Source organism: Homo sapiens, chromosome 9 (assembly GCF_000001405.40).
Source record: "Homo sapiens chromosome 9, GRCh38.p14 Primary Assembly".
NCBI lineage: Eukaryota > Metazoa > Chordata > Mammalia > Primates > Hominidae > Homo > Homo sapiens.
Genome location: NC_000009.12, coordinates 27,479,726 through 27,504,874, shown reverse-complemented (window position 1 = coordinate 27,504,874; position 25,149 = coordinate 27,479,726). Strand labels below are relative to the sequence as shown.

General features: G+C 41.3%; 1 protein-coding gene across 3 annotated transcripts in view, besides 2 other annotated features; it reads left to right on the top strand.

Moving 5' to 3' along the window:
- MOB3B (MOB kinase activator 3B) overlaps positions 1–25,149 on the top strand; it is a 204,606-nt gene that overhangs the window by 24,940 nt on the left and 154,517 nt on the right. The window contains exon 1 of one of the 3 annotated variants that reach the window (XM_047423892.1): positions 6,871–7,087. The exons of 1 other annotated variant lie outside the window; for it this stretch is intronic. The gene's annotated coding sequence lies outside the window, so the exon portion shown is untranslated. Of the gene's footprint in view, positions 1–6,870; positions 7,088–19,503; positions 19,604–25,149 lie in introns of those variants that run through there. One more of the 3 variants, XM_047423895.1, reaches the window with a different exon arrangement.
- Positions 9,481–10,186: an enhancer, noted in NCBI's record as "H3K27ac hESC enhancer chr9:27494687-27495392 (GRCh37/hg19 assembly coordinates)". NCBI's record gives its function as "activates a minimal SCP1, AML or CMV promoter by ChIP-STARR-seq in primed H9 embryonic stem cells {active_cell/tissue: H9 hESC(primed)}" and the evidence as "EXISTENCE:reporter gene assay evidence [ECO:0000049][PMID:30033119]".
- Positions 19,496–19,625: a silencer, noted in NCBI's record as "silent region_19819". NCBI's record gives its function as "represses an Ori minimal core promoter by ATAC-STARR-seq in GM12878 lymphoblastoid cells {active_cell/tissue: GM12878}" and the evidence as "EXISTENCE:reporter gene assay evidence [ECO:0000049][PMID:35858748]".

Sequence of the window (25,149 nt, the reverse complement as noted above, 5' to 3'; positions counted from 1 at the left end):
CTCCCTGAGAACCTCCAGCAGTAACACAGCCTTGCCACCCATTTTAGACTCCTGACCTCCAAACTGTAAAATCACCTTATGATGTTTGAAGCCACTAAGTTTGTGGTAATGTGTTACAGTAGGGGTGGGAAATGAATAATGAGGTTTGATATTGGTCCCACTTTTCCTGTGCTTGAATGTGGATGGATTGACATGCTTCCAGACCCCTTCTAAGGCCCTGCTCCTGTTCAGGACTCTGATAGTCAAGGAGGTCATCCATAACCACCCTCTGGCTAGTGTGCCCTGCTTTCTTGCTGTCCTTCCTTTATCTCCCCAAGCCCCAGGGCCAAGTATCACTCTACTGCTCAGATGTGCAGTGACCAGGCCAGTCACTGACAGTCTTTGAAAGAAGTGATGTGATTGGCCACTGGTTGTGCTATGCATCTGTCATTTTTGTAGTGTGGGCTGAAGAGCATACTTCATTCAGTTACTACTATAATATCTTGTGGTAACTGAAATTTGAACAGGGTTGTTGTAGGATGGGTGTCATTTAAATTGTGCTCACTGAAATGGGTGCATATCAGAACCACACAAAATGAGGACTGCATCTTTTAAAATCATGGTGCAAATCCTGCAGTAGCATTGTTATCACTGGACTGGGGGACAGGCAGCCTAGCCATGTCCTCTTGTGTTTGCTGAATACCAACGTATAAATGTGGCTGATGCAAGCATTAGGGATGTCAGTAAATAATGTATGAATTTAAAGTTGAGCAAAAGATGATGAAGCACTATTTGTACTTTGTGTCTGATGGTCACAGTTCAGTTATCCAGGAATCTCACTCTGAGACCCTGTGATTTGCAAGTAGGAGGTTCATTAGGGACTGCTTATGGCCACAAGGACTGGCAGGGGAATGAAAGCAGGAGAACGGAACAGAGGGAGAAGATGGCTGTGATGCACAGGGGGCTCTGGAGCCGGGACAGCCTGAAGAGTGGTCCCGAGTTAAGGCAAGGGGGCAAGGCCTTTATGTTTCTCCATCAGCCAGTCATTGGCTGTGGGTTGCCCAATCCCAAGAGGGCAAACTCCCTCCAGGGCGGTGGCTCTCTCTAACTAAGCATGCTTCTTTGAGAGGCCCTCAGCTGAAAGCTGCCAGCCTCTAACACTCCCAACTGGGAGAATAAATGCCCTAGTCCTAAAGGAATCTGATGGCACATTACAGGGTCCACTACCCTGATTATTCTATGATTCTGGTGCCACTGGACAGCCAAACTTTACAGAGGGCTAATCAGTATTTTAGCAAGGTTCAAGTCAGAATCTGGGGCAGAGTATGCAGGAAGAAGAGACAGGAGCGCAGGAGAGCTGACTGAGGCTGCTGCTGACGGAGAAGGCAGGGCCGCCTTCTAGGACAGTGGCCACCTCTCCTTCCCAAAGAACAGCAGCCAGTTGGGGCTGGATCCGCCTCCACTTTGATTTTCATTTATGGTAACTTATTAATTTGCGAGAAGTTGATGGTCTCGTTACTTTATCTTATCTTGCCCTTTTCGGGCATTTGGGCTCTGAATTGGAGCAGATGGAGAGGACAAGAACTTGAAATGAAAAGTTACTACATTTGACATTCGTGGTCAATTTTTCCTCTAGTGAAATATAGGTACCATGTAAAGGCAAATTGAAATTTTTTCAACTCCCAGTCCTTCCCTTTCCCTCCTTTTTTCTTCTGGTTCTTAGACCTCACACGTGTGTCATGTTCTTCCTCCAGTCTAGTCACCCCTAGCTCTTTATTTGAGGAGAATTAGATGCCTGAAGTCCGGCTCCTGCTTCACTGAATTGGGAAACAATGAAGTCAGCATCTCTCATTCTCTGAACTAACACTTACAGCTTTGGGAAACTACCTCTTTCCCCCAAGAAAAAGGGTCTGCAGATCTCTGAGAGAGGTTGCTAAGAATTCAGCAGGGAGATGAACAGGATAATAGAGGACTTTGTCACAAAGGGCTGACACCATGTTTTAGAATTGCTGATCTTAACACTTAGGCTAAAACCTGGATAAAAAGAGATTCCTGCCTACTTTCCTGTGACATTCTCTTTAGAAAGACTGAAGATACTCCCATCTGTAAGAATTTAGTTTGGGCATCCTGGTGGATTGAGGGCTTGGAGGCCACATGACAAAAGCTTTTCATCTGGAGGACCAAGTCTGACCCTTCAGTAGTGGCTGCCTGGAGAGGCTGTGTTAAGAAAGATTCTGAAGCCAGAAAAGCTTCTGTCTCCTTAGCTGATGGCTGCCCTGGCCGTGTTCCTGGGGAGGAAAGGGACACCTGATGTGTACTTGGCCATCTCAGGACATTAGTCTTCACACAACAGTCCTCAGTTGGCTGATGGGTGTTTTTGTGCTTAAACACTATATCCAATGCATACCTTTAATCTGGTTTGGGGTATACTGTAGTTTGTGAGTTATTCAGAGGTAAAATGCTAAGTACAGGATGACAAGTTGAAGAGGTAGCTGTCCAGTCCCTAGACTTCACAGAAAGAGTGAAAGATAAATTAAATCCTAAAATAAGTATATGAATAGGGAAGAGGTATTTGGAATTAGTATTAAGTATTATTTGGTTTGATATTGTGTGGGAGACCTAGATCAATGACTCCAGGTCCTAAAGTGCTGGACCTGAGGATATAAAGATTGCTGTGGTTTTGAAATGGAGAATTCGCTCATTGTCTCTTTTGATCTGAAAACAGGCAGTGAAGTATGTAAGTAGAGCATGCAGCACTATGCTTAGCAAATCATGACTAGAAACTGGAGATCTGTCACATTTGTAGGGAGAAGGATCGTGTATATATGGAAGAAATAAGAGAGGCAAATTGATGGCAAAAAAAGGGAAGGACAAACAGGGTCAGATTCTAGTCTTTGCCCTTTTTGTTGAGAGTGAGTGTTTTTTTCCTGAAAGAGCATCAAGGACTACACAGGTAAAACTTGAACTGTAATATTTAAAATTCCTTTTGCCTAATAACTTCTCTTTTTTTTGTCAAGTAAACAAAAGTCTACCCTAACAGTTTCGATTCCCTACTTTCCCTTGCTGGAAGTACATTAAATTGCTCATGTAGATCCCTATCTCACAAATAGCACTTTTTTTTTTTTTTTTGAGACAGAGTCTCACTCTGTCGCCCAGACTACGGTGCAGTGGGGCGATCTTGGCTCACTGCAACCTACACCTCCTGGGTTCAAGTGATTCACTTGCCTCACCCATCAACCCATCATTTACATTAGTTATTTATCCCAATGCTATCCTTCCCCCCACCCCCCACCCCATGACAGGCCCTGGTGTGTGATGTTCCTCTCCCTGTGTCCAAGTGTTTTCATTGTTCAGTTCCCATCTATGAGTGAGAACATGCAGTGTTTGGCTTTCTGTCCTTGTGGTAGTTTGCTCAGAATGATGGTTGCCAGCTTCCTCCATGTCCCTGCAAAGGACATGAACTCATCCTTTTTTTGGCTGCATAGTATTCCATGGTATGTATGTGCCACATTTTCTTAATCCAGTCTATCATTGATGGGCATTTGAGTTGGTTCCAAGTCTTTGTTATTGTGAATAGTGCCGCAATAAACATACGTGTGCATGTGTCTTTATAGTAGCATGATTTATTATCCTTTGGGTATACACCCAGTAATGGGATCGCTGGGTAAAATGGTATTTCTAGCTCTAGATCCTTGAGGAATCACCACACTGTCTTCCACAATTGTTGAACTAGTTTAAACTCCCACCAACAGTGTAATAGCATTCCTATTTCTCCACATCCTCTCCAGCATCTGTTGTTTCCTGACTTTTTAATGTTCGTCATTCTAACTAGTGTGAGATGGTATCTCATTGTGGTTTTGATTTGCAGTTCTCTAATGACCAGTGATGATGAGGTTTTTTTTTCATATGTTTGTTGGTCGCATAAATGTCTTCTTTTGAGAAGTGTCTGTTCATATCCTTTGCCCACTTTTTGATGGGGTTGTTTGTTTTTTTCTTGTAAATTTGTTTAAGTTCTTTGTAGATTCTGAATATTAACCCTTTGTCAGATGGGTAGATTGCAAAAATTTTCTCCCATTCTGTAGGTTGCCTGTTCACTCTGATGGTAGTTTCTTTTGCTGTGCAGAAGCTCTTTAGTTTAATTAGATCCCATTTGACAGTTTTGGTTTTTGTTGCCATTGCTTTTGGTGTTTTAGTCATGAAGTCCTTGCCCATGCCTATGTCCCGAATGGTATTGCCTAGGTTTTCTTCTAGGGTTTTTATGGTTTTAGGTCTAATGTTTAAGTCTTTAATCCATCTTGAATTAATTTTTGTATAAGGTGTAAGGAAGGGATCCAGTTTCAGCTTTCTACATACGGCTAGCGAGTTTTCCCAGTACCATTTATTAAATAGGTAATCCTTTCCCCATTTCTTGTTTTTGTCAGGTTTGTCAAAGATCAGATGGTTGTAGATTTGTGGTGTTATTTCTGAGGCGTCTGTTCTGTTCCATTGGTCTATATCTCTGTTTTGGTATCAGTACTATGCTGTTTTGGTTACTGTAGCCTTTTGTCTAAGTGAGGACACTTGTTTGTGCTTTCTATAATTTGGACAGCATGATAAGGTAGTTTTACGAAGGAATTTTGCATTTCTCACAAGACACTTTATATATCTATAAGTCACAGGGTTCTCCCCACCCCCCAACCCAGCACAGGGAATTTGAAACTAAATAAGGAAGAAACTAAATAAGGTGAACCAGACTCAATTCAAGTGAATTTCAGTTCTAGGTTTCTGCTATACACACTTTAATGGTGATTTTTAACCATTATTTATAAGTTATTGATAGTTCTGAGGTCTAGTCAAACCTTCCACAGCATTTAACCACAAGATGCATTTAAGTTAGATGTAAAAACCAGAAATCTAACTTGAGACCGACTTTGTATAAGACTAATTGAAAGGTTGATTGTAGATGGAAAATTCATAAACATTTAGTGATAGCTGTAGATTTCATTTCAACATAACACAATGGCAAAATTATAATTCTAATTTACATTAATTTATAAGAATGTTCTGAAAGTTGCAAACAATATCTAGAAAAAGTGATTGTCCCAAAGTTCAGATCCTTCAGTATTAGATACATTGTTTTTCTGTACTAGTGCAGAAAAAAAAACCAAAAGCCATTCATTTCCTGCTGTGACTTGTCCTTCAGAAGGTGGGATAGTTGCATGGAATGACTCATTTCCTTCACAAACTAGAAGTTGCCATTCTAACGAGAAATGGCAGTGTGGAAAGCGAATTAGTAAATGTTAAAGTATGAGTCCTAGGTAATGGGACCTGTTCATTAATTTGGACAGTGCTGTGAATATGTGAGTTACTCATTTTGAAATATACATTGAATTAGATATGATTAATATTCCAGTTGTTAAAAACAGATAAAGATGTCTTAACCTGACATATTTCCTTTCCATGAGTTTTAAATAAGAACCTGAGATCATTTTACTGGGACTATTATAGAAGTAATTTGTTTACGTGATGACTCTGTTCATGAACCTAATAAGCTTGCTTTCTTGGTCATTTTTTAGAGAAGGTTTTTATTTGATTGTTGAATCATAAAGAGACAGGACTCTTGCATTCCAGCTTCATCCTCTGGCTTTTCTGTGATTTTTCCTTGTTCCTCAGTCTCTTCATACATAAAAGAAATACATCAGCAGTGGCTCTGAGATGCAAAAATAAATATAATTGTCAATATTTAAATTGTAAAACTTTAGTAGATTATTCTTATTTTAATTAAAGGAGGAAAATAGACCCAAAATGATTTTAGGAGCTGATTCAGATAAATTGGTCAGGTGGTTTAGAATTTAAATTCATGGTTCTTTTCTACTGAATTTATTGGATAATAATTTATGCATATACAGATAAATTTGGTGCACTTTAAAATGTGCTTAAAAAATCTTGTGTTAAGATCCTCTTCTTCCTGAATCAGAGGTCCACAGGCCTATTTTGGCCCACAGAGATGTTTTGTTTGCTCATAGAAAGTGTTGATTTTTCTTTTAAGTTATCAACCTATAAAAATACAGATTTCACCTAAAAAATAGATTTCCAATTACGCTTAAAGAATCATAAGATCCAGCAATGTCAGGTCTTTATCTCTACATAGCAACTGCTGCTAGTACTGAATAACTTTCCCCTTTCAATGGTGCATGTGCCTCAGCACCAACAGTCTCTGGGATGAGACCCCAGTACTACAAATCAGGGTTTTCTCTGTTGACCTAGATGAGAACATTCTGACATTGAGAATAAACAGTTTAAGCATCATTATTAAGTGGTATTTGAATTCAGAGATTAGGCACATGAACAAAACCTAGGGTACTGCTACCTTGAACTTCTTTTAGTAAGAAGCAAGTTCTTCTAACTTTCCTCTACTTTCTTTTAAGTTTGTCCAAAGGTGCATTTGCAAAGGGATTACAAAGACCATGGCAGAACCAGCCCACCCCTCCCTAACACACACATCACACGCTTATTCCACCAGCTCCTCTAATTAAAGGTCTCGCACAGCTCATACGACTCCCAAAGCCAATTAAACAATGCTCACCCTTGTACCTCACAGTAGGTTGGGGAGTAGCTTGGAAAACGCTGTGATTGATATGAAAAGTAGTAACGTATTTTTAAGCACTTTTAGCACTGTTGTTACTCTATGAGGCACAAGCTTTCAACATAGTGGCCTTTTATTTTCTGCGCTTTTGGAGTGTGAGAACACCATAGAGGCTACACGCACCACGGCGTTTCTGTGGGCTGGGAATCAAGGCCTGGAGAAGGGGGTGGGCAGCCGGGAAGTGACAGTGCAGGGAGGGGGAGTTGGCAGCTGTCAAATGAATGCATTTCCCTCTTCTATTATCCTGCTATCCGAATGCTCCATCTATTCATATTCATGGTTTCCATCACTGTGCATAGCACCAAGGCCAGCTTCCTTTTCACATTTCATCTTCTTGTCTTTCTTGGAGTTTCATTTTGATTTACTAAAAATCAGTGGACTGCTTCTAAACAAGGATCAGCTAATAGAAACTGGAGGTAGTTGGTAGAGAATCTACTGGGAGGAATTTATTTACATACAAGAAGTTAAAGCCAAATGTATGTGGTAAGTTAACTTTTTGTTCATCCATTGTTAATTTCATTAATTTCCTACTAATCTAGTGATTAATTCCCCATGTAGGAAGACTATATTCACATTGCTAAGAGAAAGGAATAAGTAAAACATTTTATATTTTAATTACAAAGTAATATATATTTAATTTAGAACATATAAAACTACAAAAATTTAGGAAAGTACAGAAAAGAAATTAAAATCACCTGAAACTAGACATAATTATTAGTAAGTTCTGAGTTTATTTCTTTACAGTCAAATATGTATATATATTTTTTAGGAAATTGTGATAATTCTAGAAATTATTCTCATTGTCTTCTTATATTTGTATAATACTAAATCATAAATATTTTAATATCCTTAAATATTTTATTAAAGCTTTTCATATGTCTATATAGAATTCTATAGTATGGATACTCCATGATTTTTGGGAAGTTAGGTTTTTCTGAATTTAAATATTAAACAATGTTGTGATAAAGACATTCACAAGCTTTCACATCCAAGCTTTGTGGAAATCTATGCTTTTTCCTTAGGAAAATTTCCCAGAAGTGATTTGTGAGTCAAAAGGTAGTTGGCCTTTAAAGTAACCTCCACAAAGTTTGTAGGAATTGAAGCTCTCTGATGTATAAGAGCCCCAAACAGGGAGCTTTTCTAAGAATATCTTTCTGGGAAGCTACTCAGAATATTCTTTGACTGCTTTTGTCTAGATATTTTTACTCTATGAAGAAGACTAATCACTTGCTGGAGTTTCTTGGAATATAGGAAGAGGAGAATGGAATGCTGCCAACTTTGAAAATGTTTGGGAAAAGTGTGGGCCATATTAACCATCGTTTTAATTAACATTTGTTTTAGATCAAGAATGGAAAACCAACTCTTCTGGAGGAAAACATAAATGTCTGCTGGGGAACATGTATTTGCTTTGGGAACCCTTGGGACCAAGAAAATAAAATGCTTAATAACAACAGCATAATGAGGCTGTAGGAGTGCTGAAAGCATTAATTAATGAACAATTTTAAAGTTCTTCAGAAGCCCAGGGAGAGTTTAGAGTGGATGGATTCCTTTACTGACAAAGACTAATATGTTGGACTGCTTAGGCTGACTTGATTAAACCAGAGCTAAATTTTAAAACACACCTAATTACAGTTTCCCTATTTTAAATGGAATGCCTCATATTTATTGGAGTCCTATTATTCTATTGAGATGAACCACGGTTAACCACATCCATATTTTTTAATATTTAGGCTGTAGAACTAAACTTTTACATGTACCTGGAGAAGTTTAGAAGTTGACATTATACTGTCCTTACATGTGACGTCCCACTTTGCAACAAAAGAGCCATAGGAAGGCAGGCCCTGAACTGACCAATCGAATAACCTGAGAGTCTGATCAGAAGAATGCATGCTATGTAAATAGATCACGTTTGGGCAAGTGCTTCCTATTGCTGTCCATTGAAACTTAACACTTTCAGTGGTCCTTCTGAGTTTAACAGGTTTCTATCTCCTGGCAATAAAACCAGACTTTGCTATAGTGGTTTACTTGGCAAACTTAATCTCCACTTGTTCCTGCAGTAGGATTAAGCATGTAAACACAGCATGAGTTAATTGTAAAAATGGACACTGATGTGACAACTCAGTTGGAATACTTGCTGTATTTTGTCATACAAGTAATGAGAGTTTTTTTGCTCGTTTTTAGTGATATTGCTTACAGAACCTTTAAAGTGATTAGCATAGAGAGATAACGCTTCTATGTGCCTTAGAAGAGAATCTATGCTAATTATAACAGTATGCTGCCAGCATGATTGTTTTGTAAATGATGTTGTCCTAGTGATATGCTGGGAACTGTACTTACTGTTCCTCCAGGATAGGAGATGTCCCTTGAGAAAAGGGAGTTCTGGGTCTTTCTTTTGTGTGTTACAGTAAAGGGAACTCTTGAAACTTTATCTTTCTAAAGTGAATGTCCAGGATTAATCTTTCCTGATAGTTCTCTTGCCTGGATATCAAACAATAAAGCACTTAATACTCTCAATACTGGTAATATATGAAGTTAGTCCAGTAATTCGGAAACAGGAAGTTTGAACCCATTTAGACTTTAATACACTAACCAACAGTCATTTCCCTTAATTTCATTCATTACATGAATTTCATACATTCATGGATTCATTACTTTCTTCATTTGTTTACACATAGCCTGAATTGAGTGTCTGAATTGAATTCAGCAGTCCCTTGGGGCCATCAGGATGGGTTCCTTGTCTTCAAGGAGCTCCCAGCCTAGTGGAACAGGCATGGGAAAACTAATACAGTGTGGCACGAGCTATGGTGGAAATGTCCCTCAGGCATGCAGGAACAGGGATGGAGTAGCTAACCCTGCCTCACGGTCCCTCCTGACTCCCTCAGCTCCATTCATTTAATTAATTAATTTATTTATTTATTTATCTATTTATTTATTTATTTTGGAGACAGGGTCTCACTCTGTCACCAGGCTGGAGTGTGGTGGTACAATCATGGCTTACTGCAGCCTTGACTTCCAGGGCTCAAGTGATCCTTCTGCCTCAGCCTGCTGAATAGCTGAGACTGTAGGTGTATGCCACTGTGCCCAGCTGATTTTTAAAAATCACTTGTAGAGACAAGGTCTCACCAGGTTGCCCAGGCTGGTCTTGAACTCCTGGGCTCAAGTGATCCTCCCACCTCAGCCTCCTAAAGTGCTGGAATTACACTGTGAGCCACCTTGCCTGGCCCATTTTATTTTAATATATAGCAGTTTTTCCCAAGAACCTTGCCACTCTGATTGTGGCCCACAGACTAGCAGCATCAGCATCACCAGCAGTTCACTACACATGCATCACCTGAACCAGACCTGTTGAATCATAATTTGCATTTTAACAAGATCTTCAGGATCCAAAATTTGTCACATGACCACAACTCTTATGTGGAATAGGGGGAGGGGTGGCACTGTTACAAATGTATGTTCTTGGCAGGGCATGGTGGCTCACGCCTGTAATCCCAGCACTTAGGGAGGCCAAGGTGGGTAGATCACAAGATCAGGAGTTCGAGACCAGCCTGGCCAAAATGGTGAAACCCCGTCTCTATTAAAAATGCAAAAATTAGCCAGGTTTGGTGGTGCGTGCCTGTAGTCCCAGCTACTCAGGAGGCTGAGGCAGAAGAATCACTTAAACCCAGAGGGCGGAGGTTGCAGTGAGCCAAGATCGCGCCACTGCACTCCAGTATTGGGGAATCTGCCCTGATATTCACGTAGGTTCTTTTCTATTTTCCTTAAGCATCGGCCAGCTTGAGAAATAAAGGGACAGAGTACAAAAGAGAGAAATTTTAAAGCTGGGCATCCAAGGGAGACATCACATGTCGGTAGGGTCCATGATGCCCCACAAGCCGCAAAAACCAGCAAGTTTTTATTAGGGATTTTCAAAAGGGGAGGGAGTGTGCAAATAGGTGTGGGTCACAGACATCAAGTACTTTACAAGGCAATAGAATATCACAAGGCAAGTGGAGGCAGGGCGAGATCATAGGACCACAGGACCAGGGTGAAATTAAAATTGCTAATGAAGTTTCGGGCACCATTGTCATTGATAACATCTTATCAGGAGACAGGGTTTTGAGATCAACCGGTCTGACCAAAATTTATTAGGCAGGAATTTCCTCTTCCTAATAAGCCTGGGAGCACTATGGGAGACTGGGGTCTATTTCACCCCTGCAGTCTCAACCATAAGAGACAGGTGCACCTGGGTGGGGGCTGTTTATAAGCCTATACCTCCAGGTGCGTATTCTTTTTCCCAGGGATGTTCCATGCTGAGAAAAATAATTCAGCGATATTTCTCCCATTTGCTTTTGAAAGAAGAGAAAAATGGCTCTGTTCTGCCCGGCTCACCGGTGGTCAGAGTTTAAGGTTATCTCTCTTTTTTCCTAAACATTGCTGTTATCCTGTTCTTTTTTCAAGGTGCCCAGATTTCGTATTGCTCAAACACACATGCTGTACAATTTGTGCAATTAATGCAATTATTACAGGGTCCTGAGGCGATATACATCCTCCTCGGCTGACAGGATTAAGAGATTAAAGTAAAGACAGGCATAGGAAATCACAAGGGTATTGATTGGGGAAGTGACAAGTGTCCATGAAATTTTTTTTTTTTGAGATGGAGTCTCGCTCAGTCGCCCAGGCTGGAATGCAGTGGCGGGATCTCAGCTCACTGCAACCTTCACCTCCCAGGTTCACGCCATTCTCCTGCCTCAGCCTCCCGAGTAGCTGGGACTACAGGCACCCACTACGATGCCTGGCTAATTTTCTTGTATTTTTAGTAGAGACAGGGTTTCACCATGTTAGCCAGGATGGTCTCGATCTTCTGACCTCGTGATCCTCCCGTCTCGGCCTCCCAAAGTGCTGGGATTACAGGTGTGAGCCACCACGACCAGCCTGAAATCTTTACAATTTATGTTTAGAGATTGCAGTAAAGACAGGCATAAGAAATTATAAAAGTATTAATTTGGGGAACTAATAAATGTCCATGAAATCTTCACAATCCACGTTCTTCTGTCATGGCTTCAGCCGGTCCCTCCGTTTGGGGTCCCTGACTTCCCACAACACTCCAGCCTGGGTGACAGAGCAAGATTCTGTCTCAAAAAACCAAACAAAACAAAAAATCCCAAATGTATGTTCTTACATACATTGAGCAGAGTGAGCCCACTCTTGATCAAGGTGTACTGGAATGATTTAGTAATAATAGCTTCCTTTATTATGTGTCTATTGCTTGCCAAGTGTGGCTGCTAAGTAGCTTAGTATATGATCTTACTCATTTCCTTCTACAGCCTGTAAGATAGGAATACTTATCCCCATTTTGCACCCTAGAAATCAGACGTTCATAGAAGTTAAGGGATATGTCCAGGCCACACAGCAAATAATAGCTGAACCAGAATTTAAATGCAGGATTGCTTTGTTCCAAAGCGTTGCCCTTTCCCCTGCAGTACCCACACAGACTCCCAAACATTGGAGACATATCCCTGAAAGCATGCTTCATACTTAGTTTCTTTTTATCTGTCAGCTTCATGACAGAAAGTTAGTACATTAAACCCAAATAGCTCTAAAACTGGAGTTAATTACCTTCTGCTCCAGATGCAATTAGTAATTGCTGTAAACCTGCTAGCATGATGCCTGGCAGTTATCAGTTCCCAGATGCAGTTTTGGTAAATGGTTAAATCCTATTGGTCTGCTAATTTATGGTGCTAGATGCTAGATGAATTTCATTTCTGAAAACCTTTAGGTAGACCTCATCTTGAGAGTCACTTGGGCAGCATTTCGCTGGCAGACTACCTGTTTGATACCTGGGCCTATTTCTTTGCTGTGGAATACATTTTGCTCAGGGAATGCTTGGTAAATCCATTCTTTAGTGTTTTAAAAAATCTTTATTCTTAGGGTTTATTTTTCTTGTCAAGTTTTTTCTATTTAATCTTTTCTATTCAATTAAAGGAAAATTGTGACATTTTATGATCATTATAATGAGTGTGAACCTTATGCAGATATATGAAGAAAAAAGTTAATCTCTTCCGTAATCCCCCTTCATTTTTACCCCACAGTGGGAACCAGCATCCACAAATTGGCTCATATTTTTCCACAACTTTCTCCTTCCTCATACAAACAGGCACAAACAGCAATGTGCAAATACCCTGCAATTTGCTCTTAAGATGTCATGGACATCCCTCTCTACTCTCAAATCTCATTTGCAAAATTCTTTCTTCTTCACTACAAGGATTCTCAATTTGAGCAGCGAAGTGAGTAAACTACTTTCCATTTAGGTATCTCAGACAAGACTTTAAAAGAGATATGCCTATAAAAGTAGTGATATCAAATAAAGGTGCTTAGAACATAGGCAAATTCCTATATTGATTTTTGTTGTTGTTGTTGTTGAGACAGAGTCTTGCTCTGTCGCCCAGGCTGGAGTGCAGTGGTGCGATCTCGGCTCACTGCAAGCTCCGCCTTCCTGGTTCACGCCATTCTCCTGCCTCAGCCTCCCAAGTAGCTGGGACTACAGGCGCCTGCCACCACGCCCAGCTAATTTTTTGTATTTTTAGTAGAGATGGGGTTTCACCATGTTAGCCAGGATGGTCTCAATCTCCTGACCTTGTGATCTGCCTGCTCGGCCTCCCAAAGTGCTGGGATTACAGGCATGAGCCACCGTGCCCAACCACCTATATTGATTTTTAAGGAATTATCTTTCTAATTTAGAATATGGAAAAAGAATGGTTGATACAGATATATGTCTTTTTTTAATCTCTGAAAATAAAAAGTTTGACCATTTTTTGGACAGAAAATAGACTTATTATGGCAAATTCAACATGGGCCCCAAAATGCTGTAACAGTACACTGCACACTCATTTCTCCTTGTCGGTGGCTGTGCTCTCTTGCACAACTTCAAAGCCTCCCATCATCTGTGGAGAAAACTTTTTTTTCTTAGTGAATAGCATGAATACACTTCCTTTTTCTCTTTTTCTAACCTTCTGGCTTATGTGGAACTTGTGCCAAATTCCTCATCATGAAGGCATCTGATTTATATTTTGACAACAGTGATAGCTTCAAATGAACAGTTGTAAATAATATGTCTTCTTCTTTTTAGTTATGGATTGCATATTAATTTTAACCAAACTACATAATTATCTCATCGTTCCGAAGAAATAATATATACAAAGGAGGATTTTTTTAAAGTATGAGACACTAGGACCGTTTGTTGCAATTATTATCACTATTATTATCATCTTCCTCTGTCCTGGTATCCTTTATTTTCTGAATTAAAAAAAAAAAAGGCTGTATGATGTGCTATCTAGGGCTTTGATAAATACTCTTTTTATTCTGGTAGGTGTCATTGTTGTTACATTTCTCCTTCGAATTTGCTTTTCTGGGCTTTCCTCAGACCCTCTTTTAAGCTACCCATTGTGCCTACAGCATCGATGGTATTTATTATGTTAAAAATGATTCTAGTTTCACGTGGCTACATTTTATTGGTGCTAAAAGCATCAAGGTCCAGTGTAAAGAGCACTGGAGTGAGAGTCAAGAAACCTAATTAGGTGGGCTTTGGAGTTGTTTTGCTGTAGGACCTTACGGCAAGTCAAGGAACCCATCTGGACCTCCTCTCCCACTCCTTACTCCCAGCTCCTGAGCCACCCTAGGTTCCTCCCCAAGAGAACAGGTGCTTTCACACTACATGTCTTTGCACATGCTGTTTCCACTGCTTCAAATGCCCTTTCTTGTCTCCTACCAGACAAATTCCTATTCATCTTTAAATGGCCCACATTCAAATCTCATCTCCTGTGGGAAACTCTTCTTGAGTCCCTCTCTCAAACACTATTAGTTGCTTCTTAATCTGCAAGGAATCTCATAATTCCACAAACACACATAATAATACTTTTAATATTTTATTGCAGGGGTGTGAGTGTGTGTGTCTGTGTCTAATCTCTCTCACTAAACCATGAGCACCTTTAGGACAAGAACTGTGTCTCATTCATCTTTTTCTCCCCAGGGTCTAGAACTTCGCCTGATACGTGGTAGGTCCTCTATACCTGTTGGCTCACTGAAGGCATGAGCCTTAGTTCACCCATCTGTAGTAGGGGGATTGGACCATATGCTGTTAAAGTAATGCTATGGAATTCTATGTTTTTACAGAGAGCTCGAACAAGAGGCCCAGCCAGGTGATGCTTTGTGTGTGCAATGCAGAGGGGAAGTGTGTTGATGGATTGAAATTTGGCTGCATCACCATTTCAAAACAGTGGGCAAAAGAGGCACATTGGCTCTTTTGAACTTTAAGTAGCTGTCCTAATATCTTGTTTCACCACCTTAAAGAATATTTACTATATATGTGAATGAATCCATAAACAATATAAAGTCAAGTTTAATAGTTGTTTTGTTTTTTAGCTTATGTGACTGTTTTAGAGATACATTTGTGTTAATAACATAAGAAGTTAGTTTGTGTATTCTTGTATAGGTGGACATTACTTGGCATATGATAATGAGCCTTAGTGCCCTGTTGGACCAAAAAAAAAAAAAGATTATTTCCTTATCTGGTGTGATGTTTCCCTCTAGGGGCCTGTTTCCAGCCAGGAAAATTTGTGCTTCTACTTGTAGCTCCAGTGCCCTGGAAGCTACCTCCAACCCCCATCACCCACATACGTGGTTAGCCTTTATCTTCCGATTAGGGAAATTTATGCCTCACCACCTCCATCACAGGCAGCATTGTATACCAGCAACATAGCCTTTCTCTCTTTCCATAGTGAGAGAAATTAGCTTAGTGAATTTTTGGAAAATTTCAAGGCAAGTGTGGCTTGAGCTCAAGATGAGGGAGTTAACTCCCACCATACTTGTTTTTGACTGAAGTCTATTTTACTGCTTTTTAAGAGTGAGAGCTCAGGATTAGCAGCTGCTGGGTATAAGTCTAAGGTCTGACAGAAGCCTTTGCAGAGACACCTGCTGCTTTCAGGACTGCCTGGGACTGAGGGAATCCCCCACACAAAAGGCTTCTGTTGGATTTCTATGTGTAGTTGAGAATGCTTAAATGACAAGGGAAGAAAACCACAAGTGAAAGGGAAAGACGGACTAGGAGAAGTAAATGGAAATACGGTTGACAAAAGGCTATGCCAGTGCAAAAAGTGAGTATGAAGCACCAGCGAAAAGCTGGAAAGCAAACTCAAAATGGCTAGGAAGAAGACCAGGCGGCAGTATCCACATTTTCTAAAACTACCGTGGGAGCCATGATTATCTAAAATCCCCGCTAGATATTATCACTTGAAACATCATGTCTCACTCTTTTAGTCTGTGTAAGTTACCAGTCCTTCCAGAATAAGTAGGAACAATTCTGAGCCCCTGGCATGTAATGGTATAGCCCTATGCCAGTCAATTTGTCAGCCCTGGCACAACATAAGTGAATACAGGCAGCCTTGAAATGTGTACGTTATGTAAGCTGCACTTTCTCCTTTCTGTGCTGACCACATTCCATAGTGTTCTAGATAAGCAAAGGGGCATCCTGTTTGGTTGTCAGTGCTACTCGATGGGTATGCCATGACCCCTTTAGAGATGTGACACCAGGCAGGGCGCAGTGGCTCACACCTGTAATCCCAGCACTTTGGCAGGCGGAGATGGGTAGACCACGTAAGGTCAGGAGTTCGAGACCAGCCTGGCCAATGTGGTGAAACCCTGTCTCTACTAAAAATACAAAAGTTAGCCGAGTGTGGTGGCGCTTGCCTGTAATCCCAGCTACTCAGGAGGCTGAGGCAGGAGAATTGTTTGAACCTGGGAGGCAGAGGCTGCAGTAAGCCAAGATTGCACCACTGCACTCCAGCCTGGGCAACAGAGCGAGACACCATCTCAAAAATAAATAAATAAATATAAAAAGAGAGATGTGATACCAATCTTGGATCTCTGTGTAAAACATTATGTTTGCAGTGTACCTTGATATCCACTGGGGTGAATGTTGTGCTGAGTTGGGTGATATGGTTGGAGTTCTGAGTTACCGTTACCCTTGCTGCTACTACAGCAGTTTTCACAAGTTAGAGCTAAATGCAAGAAAAGTCTCTCTGTATTCTGCCTGATGCTGTCCCTCCTCTGCCTCCCATGGATACAACATAATAGGAAACAGCTAGTTGTTTGCAGACTTCCAGCTGCAGGGGAAACACAGAGAAATGTAGTAGGGCAGGTTTGAGGCTGAAACAGCAGATAAATAATCATCATGATGGTCACCTGACTCAAGGGGAGCCAGTCTGCATACTGGCAGACCTAGGGACTGGCCTGCCTTGAAAATCCCTGTCCATTCAGGGACACATTGTCCCAATAGGTTATTTCTCTCAGAAGTTTGGTTTTGGAAGTAAAGATTATCAGACAGTCAGAAGTGAAATCTACAAGGATGCACACAAAAGACCATGAGCAAGACCAAGTTAAGAGAAGGCAGAAGCCATGATGATAGCATAGCAGAATCAATAAGCAGAGAAGAGACCATAGCATCAGGGTGAGAAAGATGTACATGAAGAATCTATGGAAATAGTTGAGTCATTTTAATGGCATACGCAAAAGTGAAAAATCTTCGAACTCTTGCTTCTAAGGGTCAGGTGGCCAAGCAGCCCCTAAGGAGCAGCTTAGAATAGAAAGCTACTAGATCAGCTGGAAAGGAAATAATGAACCCAAATGTACCTATCTAGTTTATTACTCGTGGTACATCAGGCAGCATGAGCATTATGTCTGCATCATCAGTTCTCCCTGGCCCCCCAGGTCTCATGGAGGTGATGGGGATGTGGGCCTAGGTGGATACTGTGCACATAGGGGTCTGTTTCACAGCTGAGCAACACTGAGCTTTAGAAAACCCCAATTTTATAAGGAGACATGCCTATCCTCCCCTCCAGAGACGGCTGATTCCAGGGTAATAAAGCTTATTACCCTGGAATGTAAACCGATCTCTGGGCAGGGGATGTTCTCTGTCTTTACTATGCTAGTCAGGAAACACATGTGCCTTCTGATCTGCAGGGGAACACTATCTTTAGTTTCCTAGGCTGTTTGCTATGCAAATATCCCAGAAAATATAGTCTGGCATGACTTATAGAAACGTTATGGAGAATTGCCTCCCAACGCTAAGAATTATTTATTTATTTTATTTATTTATTTATTTATTTTTGAGACAGAATCTTACTGTGTTGCCCAGGCTGGAGTGCAATGGTGAGACCTTGGCTCACTGCAACCTTCACCTCCCAGGTTCAAGTGATTCTCGTTCCTCAGCCTCCTGAGTAGCTGGAATTACAGACATGTGACACCACACCCAGCTAATTTTTGTATTTTTAGTAGAGGTGAGGTTTCACCATGTTGGCCAGGCTGGTCTTGAACCCCTGGCCTCAAGTGATCCATCTGCCTCAGCCTCCCAAAGTGCTGGCATTACAAGCGTGAGCCACCACGCCCAGCCCCAACACTAAGCATTCTTAAGCTGCCTTGAGTCTTTCCACTTTATACATGGCCAAGTCCTGTTTTAACTCCTGTTTAGATTCATATGAACCTCATATTTTCTTTATTCCCATTAAATTCTTAAAGCACCACTTCTCCCCACAGTCACACTAGCCTGGGTGGATTTCTGCTTCTCATCTCTAGAAGGCCAGAGCTAACTAACATAAAGCTGGAAAATTAGATTGTAATCAGAATGCGGGCCCTTGAATGCCAGGTGAAAGTTTTAATCGAATATGAAACCCTGACACTTGGATGCCACAGGACTAGCTTTAGTTAGGCTTGATCCACTTATGCGTCTGTTCATTTGGGATGTGATTACTCAAGACACAGGAAGTTATTCTATTCATTGCCTCCATAATGCTTTGAAGGGTGCTTCAAATTTGAGCCAGAGGCAGAAGTGATCAATTTTCTATCCTATTAATTGTTTGGATTTCTTGTTCCAGATCTTCTTCTTAAAAGTCTTAATAGATTTCATCAAATGAAACTTTAGATAGGTATTGGCTTACAGGTTTACACACAGGTCTTCTCACTTACCGGTCCTCCTGCGTTGGAAGTTCTTCATACTCTTTGACTTGCTTCTAATACTGCCACCCTGAATCCTTCTAGTCTCTGTGCACAAGTATCTTCATCAAAGAGGCATTCCTGGTCCACCATCGAAACTAGCTCTTGCCCGTTGTCCTGTCTTGTGGCACTTGCTCTTTTCATTCTTGGCACACAGCACAATTTGTAATTGTACATCATGTATGTGTGTTTAATGGCTTCTCCCCCAACAGACTGTAAGCTCCACTAAGAGAAGAGTTATATCTTTCATTCATTACAGAAAACCCAGCCTAGTGTACCAAGTGCTCAAGAAATATTGATTGAACAAATTATAGATTTTTGACTCTCTTTGTAAAAAGTCTTGAATAGTTCAGCTCAGTGAGTTTGCACTTATGTGGTTAGCAATAGTGTTGGTGAGTTTTATACATACAGGACTTAACATCATTAGATAGTGTTTTGTTTCTGCCATTTTTTTCCTATTACAAAAGGAATATAATCTCAATGCCTTTAACTCAATAAACACAGAAGAGAACAAGGGGGAAAAATTGATATCATGGTAATTCTGCTGTTGACATTTTGTAGAGCTGTGTTTTAAAGAAGAGTAATTTTCCATGAGGGTAGAGAGGGAAGAGAATGTAGGATGTAAAATCAGTTTGAGATGGTCCACACAAAAGTCGATATGAAAGTGAAATGTAAAGCAGGAGCCATTGGAGTGCAAAGAAAGGGGCTAATATTGGAGACATTCCAGAGACAGAATCAGTGAGATTTGCCCAAGGCAATGCTGACATTTGGGGCTTTGTGATTGGGAGACAGATGTAGCTCTTAACAGAAATAGTGGTGTTGGAGAGGCCTTGAGTCCTAGAAAGGAAATAGGCTTTAGAGCCAGCAGAGGTGGGTTTCAGTTCTGGTTCTGCAAGCAAGTCACCTAACCTCAGTGAACCCATTTCCTTCCTGTGTAAAATGAGCTCCACAGTCCCTACCTTGCCAGGTTGTTGTTGGGTAAGTTACTTAACCTTTCTCAGCTTCTTTATCTGTTAAGATAGGAATAATAACAGTACTTACCTCATGGGTTGTTTCGAGGATTAAATGAGTTAATATTGTAGAATAAGTGATATATAGAAGTATTTGCTATGATCCTTGTTGTTATTGATATATTATCAATATATGGACTGGATGCCCTTGAGACATCCAGCTGAAACTGTCCATCTGGCCACGCAAAACACTTGTCTCGAACTTGGATCCGTGGTCTGTTTAAAAATACTGGCAAGGCCAATTTTCCGGGGTGGTTCATGTGTTGTCAGGGTTAAAGGCTGGGAGTCAAGTTTCCATTAACTGAGGTATAATGGTCACTGTACTCCATGTCCCAGAGTCCCCTTCTAAAGTGGATACCTCAACCTGACTGTGTGGATGTAGTTTACTAGCTGGTACCCTGGTGAGCTCATGCCTGGGTTTGACAGCCTGCAGAAAAAGCCTGAGGATGCATGGAACGCTGAGTTCTCAGGGCAGGGTAGAGGAGGCCGGGGGTCGGGGGGTTGATTTGTGCAAGCACCAAACCCACAGGGCAGGTGCAAGGCTCAGGAGGTGGGCAGACATGAAATGCACAGGAACAAGCAAACAGAAGGGAATTATCCTGGGACTGCTATTCATGAAGCCTTTATGGTGGCCCTTTAATGTGGATAGGTTAAAGTGACTCGAAGGTTGAAGGCTAACAAAATATTTTCAAATTCTTTATGCTTTTTATTTAAAGTAAAAATAAATGAAAAATAATGCACTTCAGTTTGCTCTCTTCTTACTGCCTCCCACTCATCAGTTTTGCACAGGGAGAAATGTCCACTTGCCATGGCTTCTTACTCCCGCCTGAGTTTTTTGTTTTGTTTTTAGCATAGACCCATTATAACTGAAAGCAAACAGCCCACCTTCTCAACCCCCTACATGGCAGACAGGGGGCTGCTGTGGAAATGCTGGGAGACCTTGTTAGATCAGTGTCTTCTGTGATGGCTGTTTATTATCTCTTCCCGTTTTTCTCTGAGTTAATGGGATCCTCTGAATGGGAGCCCTTAGAAAGACTCCTGATCACTTCTATGTTCAACTCACCCTCAGCTCCAGACAACTGTGATAGGACCTGCATTTTGAGAAGAGCATATATTATGAAATGCAGGTAACAATTCTCACTTGGGGCATCCCTGCCCCTCAAAGATGCAGGAAGAACTTGGCCTGAACCCCAATGCTTGGCATCATAAGCTCGTTATGGGCCCTCACCCTGCCCTGGCACTCCTTAGTGGCTCTGTCACCTGGACTCAAACCCTTATCCCCTACAAGAAATCCAGTGGAAAGCAGCATTTTCCAGAGTCTGTAGCTTTTTTGAAGATTTCATTCATGAAGGGCGAGCAGCAGCAAATGGACCACTCAGCTGTGACACACCCTCTGCCATTTCCCCCTACGTCGCTTCACATCCTATTAATACCAGCTCTCTTTGCACCCTCCTGCTGTACATGGGACCAGGTCTTTTAAGATTTTCTGAGGCCTTAGTTCCTCTTCTGCCCACGAGCATACCAAACATAACAACGTGCACCCACACCTCACATTAAATATAATCTGTGCAGCAAGCGATGAAAAGCACCTTTATAATTGGGCCTTTGAAATCATTTGACTGTAAGTATGTCATTCAATTTATGATTAGCTCTGTTTTCTCAGGAGCTATGCAGTCAAGAATTCTTAAAAAGAAAGTCAGCTTAACTTACTAATTGTTTTCATGCACAAGAAAATATTTTTAAAATATTTTGAAACAAAATGTTATTGAAATTTGTTAGATTTAACAATGAAAGAAGTACCATATATTGGCCGGGCGCGGTGGCTCACGCCTGTAATCCCAGCACTTTGGGAGGCCGAGGCGGGCGGATCACAAAGTCAGGAGATCAAGATCATTCTGGCTAACACGGTGAAACCCCGTTTCTATTAAAAATACAAAAAATTAGCCAGGTGTGGCAGCGGGCGCCTGTAGTCCCAGCTACTCGGGAGGCTGAGGCGGGAGAATGGCGTGAACCCGGGAGGCGGAGCTTGCAGTGAGCCAAGATGGCGCCACTACACTCCAGCCTGGGCGACAGAGCAAGACTCCGTCTCAAAAAAAAAAAAAAAAAAAAAAAAAGTACCGTATATTTGTAGACATTTACTTAAACATTTGGTAATTGTCATGTTTATCTCTTTGTATTTTGGAAACAATTATCTCTTTTAAGCCCTCAAATATGTATGTGCACCTCTTAAAGATATTAAACTGCAAGCGCTGTAGCTATGTTTTCCAGTGGATAAGACAGGTTAGCAGGAGGCCTGTTCAAGGCAAGATACTCTAGGAAAAGAGTCCAGTCCTTATCCTGGCTTCATTTCTCTCCAGAAGCAGCCTTATCAGGCCAACCCATTTTCCCCATGTGCCTTCTGATGAATACAATTTTCTTTGTCTCATTACACAAATTTTTGCAGAGTACAACCAAACTTAAAAACGGCCATGTGGTGCATTCCTTATACAGGGATTTTGTCAGGAACCTCAAGCAACTTTTAGAGAATGCTTCACTTGGAAAGGGTTTGGTGGGAAGTACAGATGGGGAGATAAAGACATCTGGGCAGGCCACCAGCACGGGCAATGGTGTAGAGGCAGAGGTTGAGATGCAACTGAGCCAGGTCTGAAAAGCCTTGGAAGCCACACTGAACATTTGAGACCTTACCTCATAGTAAGGTCTATGGGGAAGAACTGACATTCCAGGAACTGGCTCAAAGAGTAACTTAAGGTGAATGTTGTGGATTTTTCTTTTCCTTTCTCTTCTTCCTCCTCTCCATTCTTTTAGGCACAGAGCATTCCTTTTAACATTGCCGTTTTTCTTAATAGCTAGATAAGCCCAGGTATCCAGTAAGCCCCCAAAGGAGACTTGGTGTAAGCAGACCTGGTGGAACAAACATCCAGACCATCCAGACATTATTATGAGTTTTGAGTGGCCAGTGGGGCTCCATGTGCTTTATGTTTGGATTATTTAATGTTTTTCCCGTCCTTTAATGTTAGGTCTCTTCAGCCAAATGATAAGGTTGAACAGGGCGGAAATTACAGGGTGGGGATCACAGTGGCGTTTTAGCATAAGCCTTCGCTTCCATTCATGTTTCAGTGGTTTGAAAGAGTTGTTTTTTTATTCCACCCTTTTGCTTTATGTTTTTTTGTTTTTGCATTTTATTTACCGTGCTTTTCGTTCATTTGTTTCATCTTATCTCTTTTCTTCCCTCCACTGGATCAATAGCATTTTATTTCCTTTTTTCAGTGTTTGCTTTTTAAAAAAAAATTCATGGCTGATGTTTAAAATTCTGATTTCCCATAAAACTCCGAGTTCCCAGGTTTTTGAAAGTTAACATATGTGACATTGGACTGTATTCCCACATGGCAACGATCTGTAAGAACTACCTTCCTTAGGCTGGGCGCGGTGGCTCACGCCTGTAATCCTTGCACTTTGGGAGGCCGAGGCGGGCAGATCATGAGGTCAGGAGATCGAGACCATCCTGGCTAACACAGTGAAACCCCATCTCTACTAAAAATACAAAAAATTAGCTGGGCATGGTGGCGGGCGCCTGTAGTCCCAGCTACTTGGGAGGCTGAGGCAGGAGAGTGGCATAAACCTGGGAGGCGGAGCTTGCAGTGAGCCGAGATCACGCCACTGTACTCCTGCACTCCAGCCTGGGCGACAGAGCTAGACTCCGTCTCAAAAAAAAAAAAAAACAAAAAAAACAAAAAAAAAAAAACTACCTTCCTTAGACAGGTACACGCTTACCAGTTTACCCCAGGCGCCACCACACTCTATTGTCTCCCTGACCCTGAGGAGACATCAGTTGTGGTTATTTGGGTTGTTGCTTTCCTACACCTGGCTGTTTACTCAGTTATGTGACCTACTCTGCCCCAGTAAGCATTTCAGTTTGCCATCATCTTTTAGCTGGAGCATTTAGTTGATTTACATTTGTTATAATTAACTGTACCGATATATTTTAGTCCATATCTGCTGGAGTCTTTTGTGCTGTTTGTTGCACAGTTTCTATGTTTCTTCTCGCCTTTTTTGTCTTTTTATGGATGAGCGAGTTCATTGTCTCACTCTGTTTTTTCTTCTGCACCACTCTGAAAGGCATACTGTTTTATTCTTTCAGAGATTAGCCTAGTAATTATAGCATGCGTCTTTAACTTACTAAATTCTAAAGTGATCAATAGTTTTACCTTCCTTTGAATAACACCCTTCTTATTTATCCCTCCCCGCAATTCTTACACTAGTCTTTTGAGTATTTTAAGTCTATATAATTTTTCAAACTCCACAAGGCATCGTTTCTTTTATTCTTTTATAGAGTCAGTGCTTGTATTGATTTACTTATATATTTATCATTTTCTGTTCTCTTAATTCTTTCTTATATTCTTACATCCTTAAAATTCCTTCTTTTTTTCATATTTTGTCTGTATATGTCTCATTTGAGTATTCTTTTTCCCCCTTTCCTTTCTTCTACTACTTTAGAAGTTATACAATTCTGCCTAGGCACGGTGGCTCACGCCTGTAATCCCAGCACTTTGGAAGGCCCAGGCAGGCAGATCAAGAGATCAAGACCATCCTGGCCAACATGGTGAAACCCTGTCTCTACTAAAAATACAAAAATTAGCTGGGGCCAGGCACGGTGGCTCACATCTGTAATCCTAGCACTTTGGGAGGCTGAGGCAGTCGGATCACAAGGTCAGGAGATCAAGACCATCCTGGCTAACATTGTGAAACCCCGTCTCTACTAAAAAATGCAAAAAATTAGCCGAGCATGGTGGCGGGTGCCTGTAGTCCCAGCTACTCCGGAGGCTGAGGCAGGAGAATGGCGTGAACCCAGGAGGCGGAGCTTGCAGTGAGCCGAGATCGCGTCACTGCACTCCAGCCTGGGTGACAGAGCGAGACTCCGTCTCAAAAAAAAAAAAAAATAGCTGGGCATGGTGGCATGTGCCTGTAGTCCCAGTTACTTGAGAGACTGAGGCAGGAGGCAGAGGTTGCAGTTGCAGTGAGCCGAGATTGCGCCACACTCCAGCCTGGGCAACAGAGTGAGACTCTGTCTCAAAGAAAAAAAAAAGTTATGCATTCTATTTCTTCTCTCCCATTTCCTTCCTCATTTCCCCTGAAAATATTATATGAATAATATGAATGCTTAGCCTTTTTTTTTTTTTTTTAAAGAGACAGTATCTTGCTCTGTTGCCCAGGCTGAAGTGCAGTAGTGCAGTCATAGCTCACTGTTACCTTGAATTCCTGGGCTAAAGCAATTCTCCTGCCTCAGCTTCTCAAGTAGCTAGGACTATAGATACGTACCACCACATCCAGCTAATTTTTAAAACTTTTTGTAGAGACTAGGTCTCACTATGTTGCCCAGGCTGGCCTTAAACTCCTGGCCTGAAGCAAACCTCCTGCCTTGGCCTCCCAAAGCACGAGCTTAGCTTTTAAAAAGTTTTAAGTTATTCAAAATTTCTATTCCCCTATCACGTAATGCAAGGGCCATAGAGTACTTTA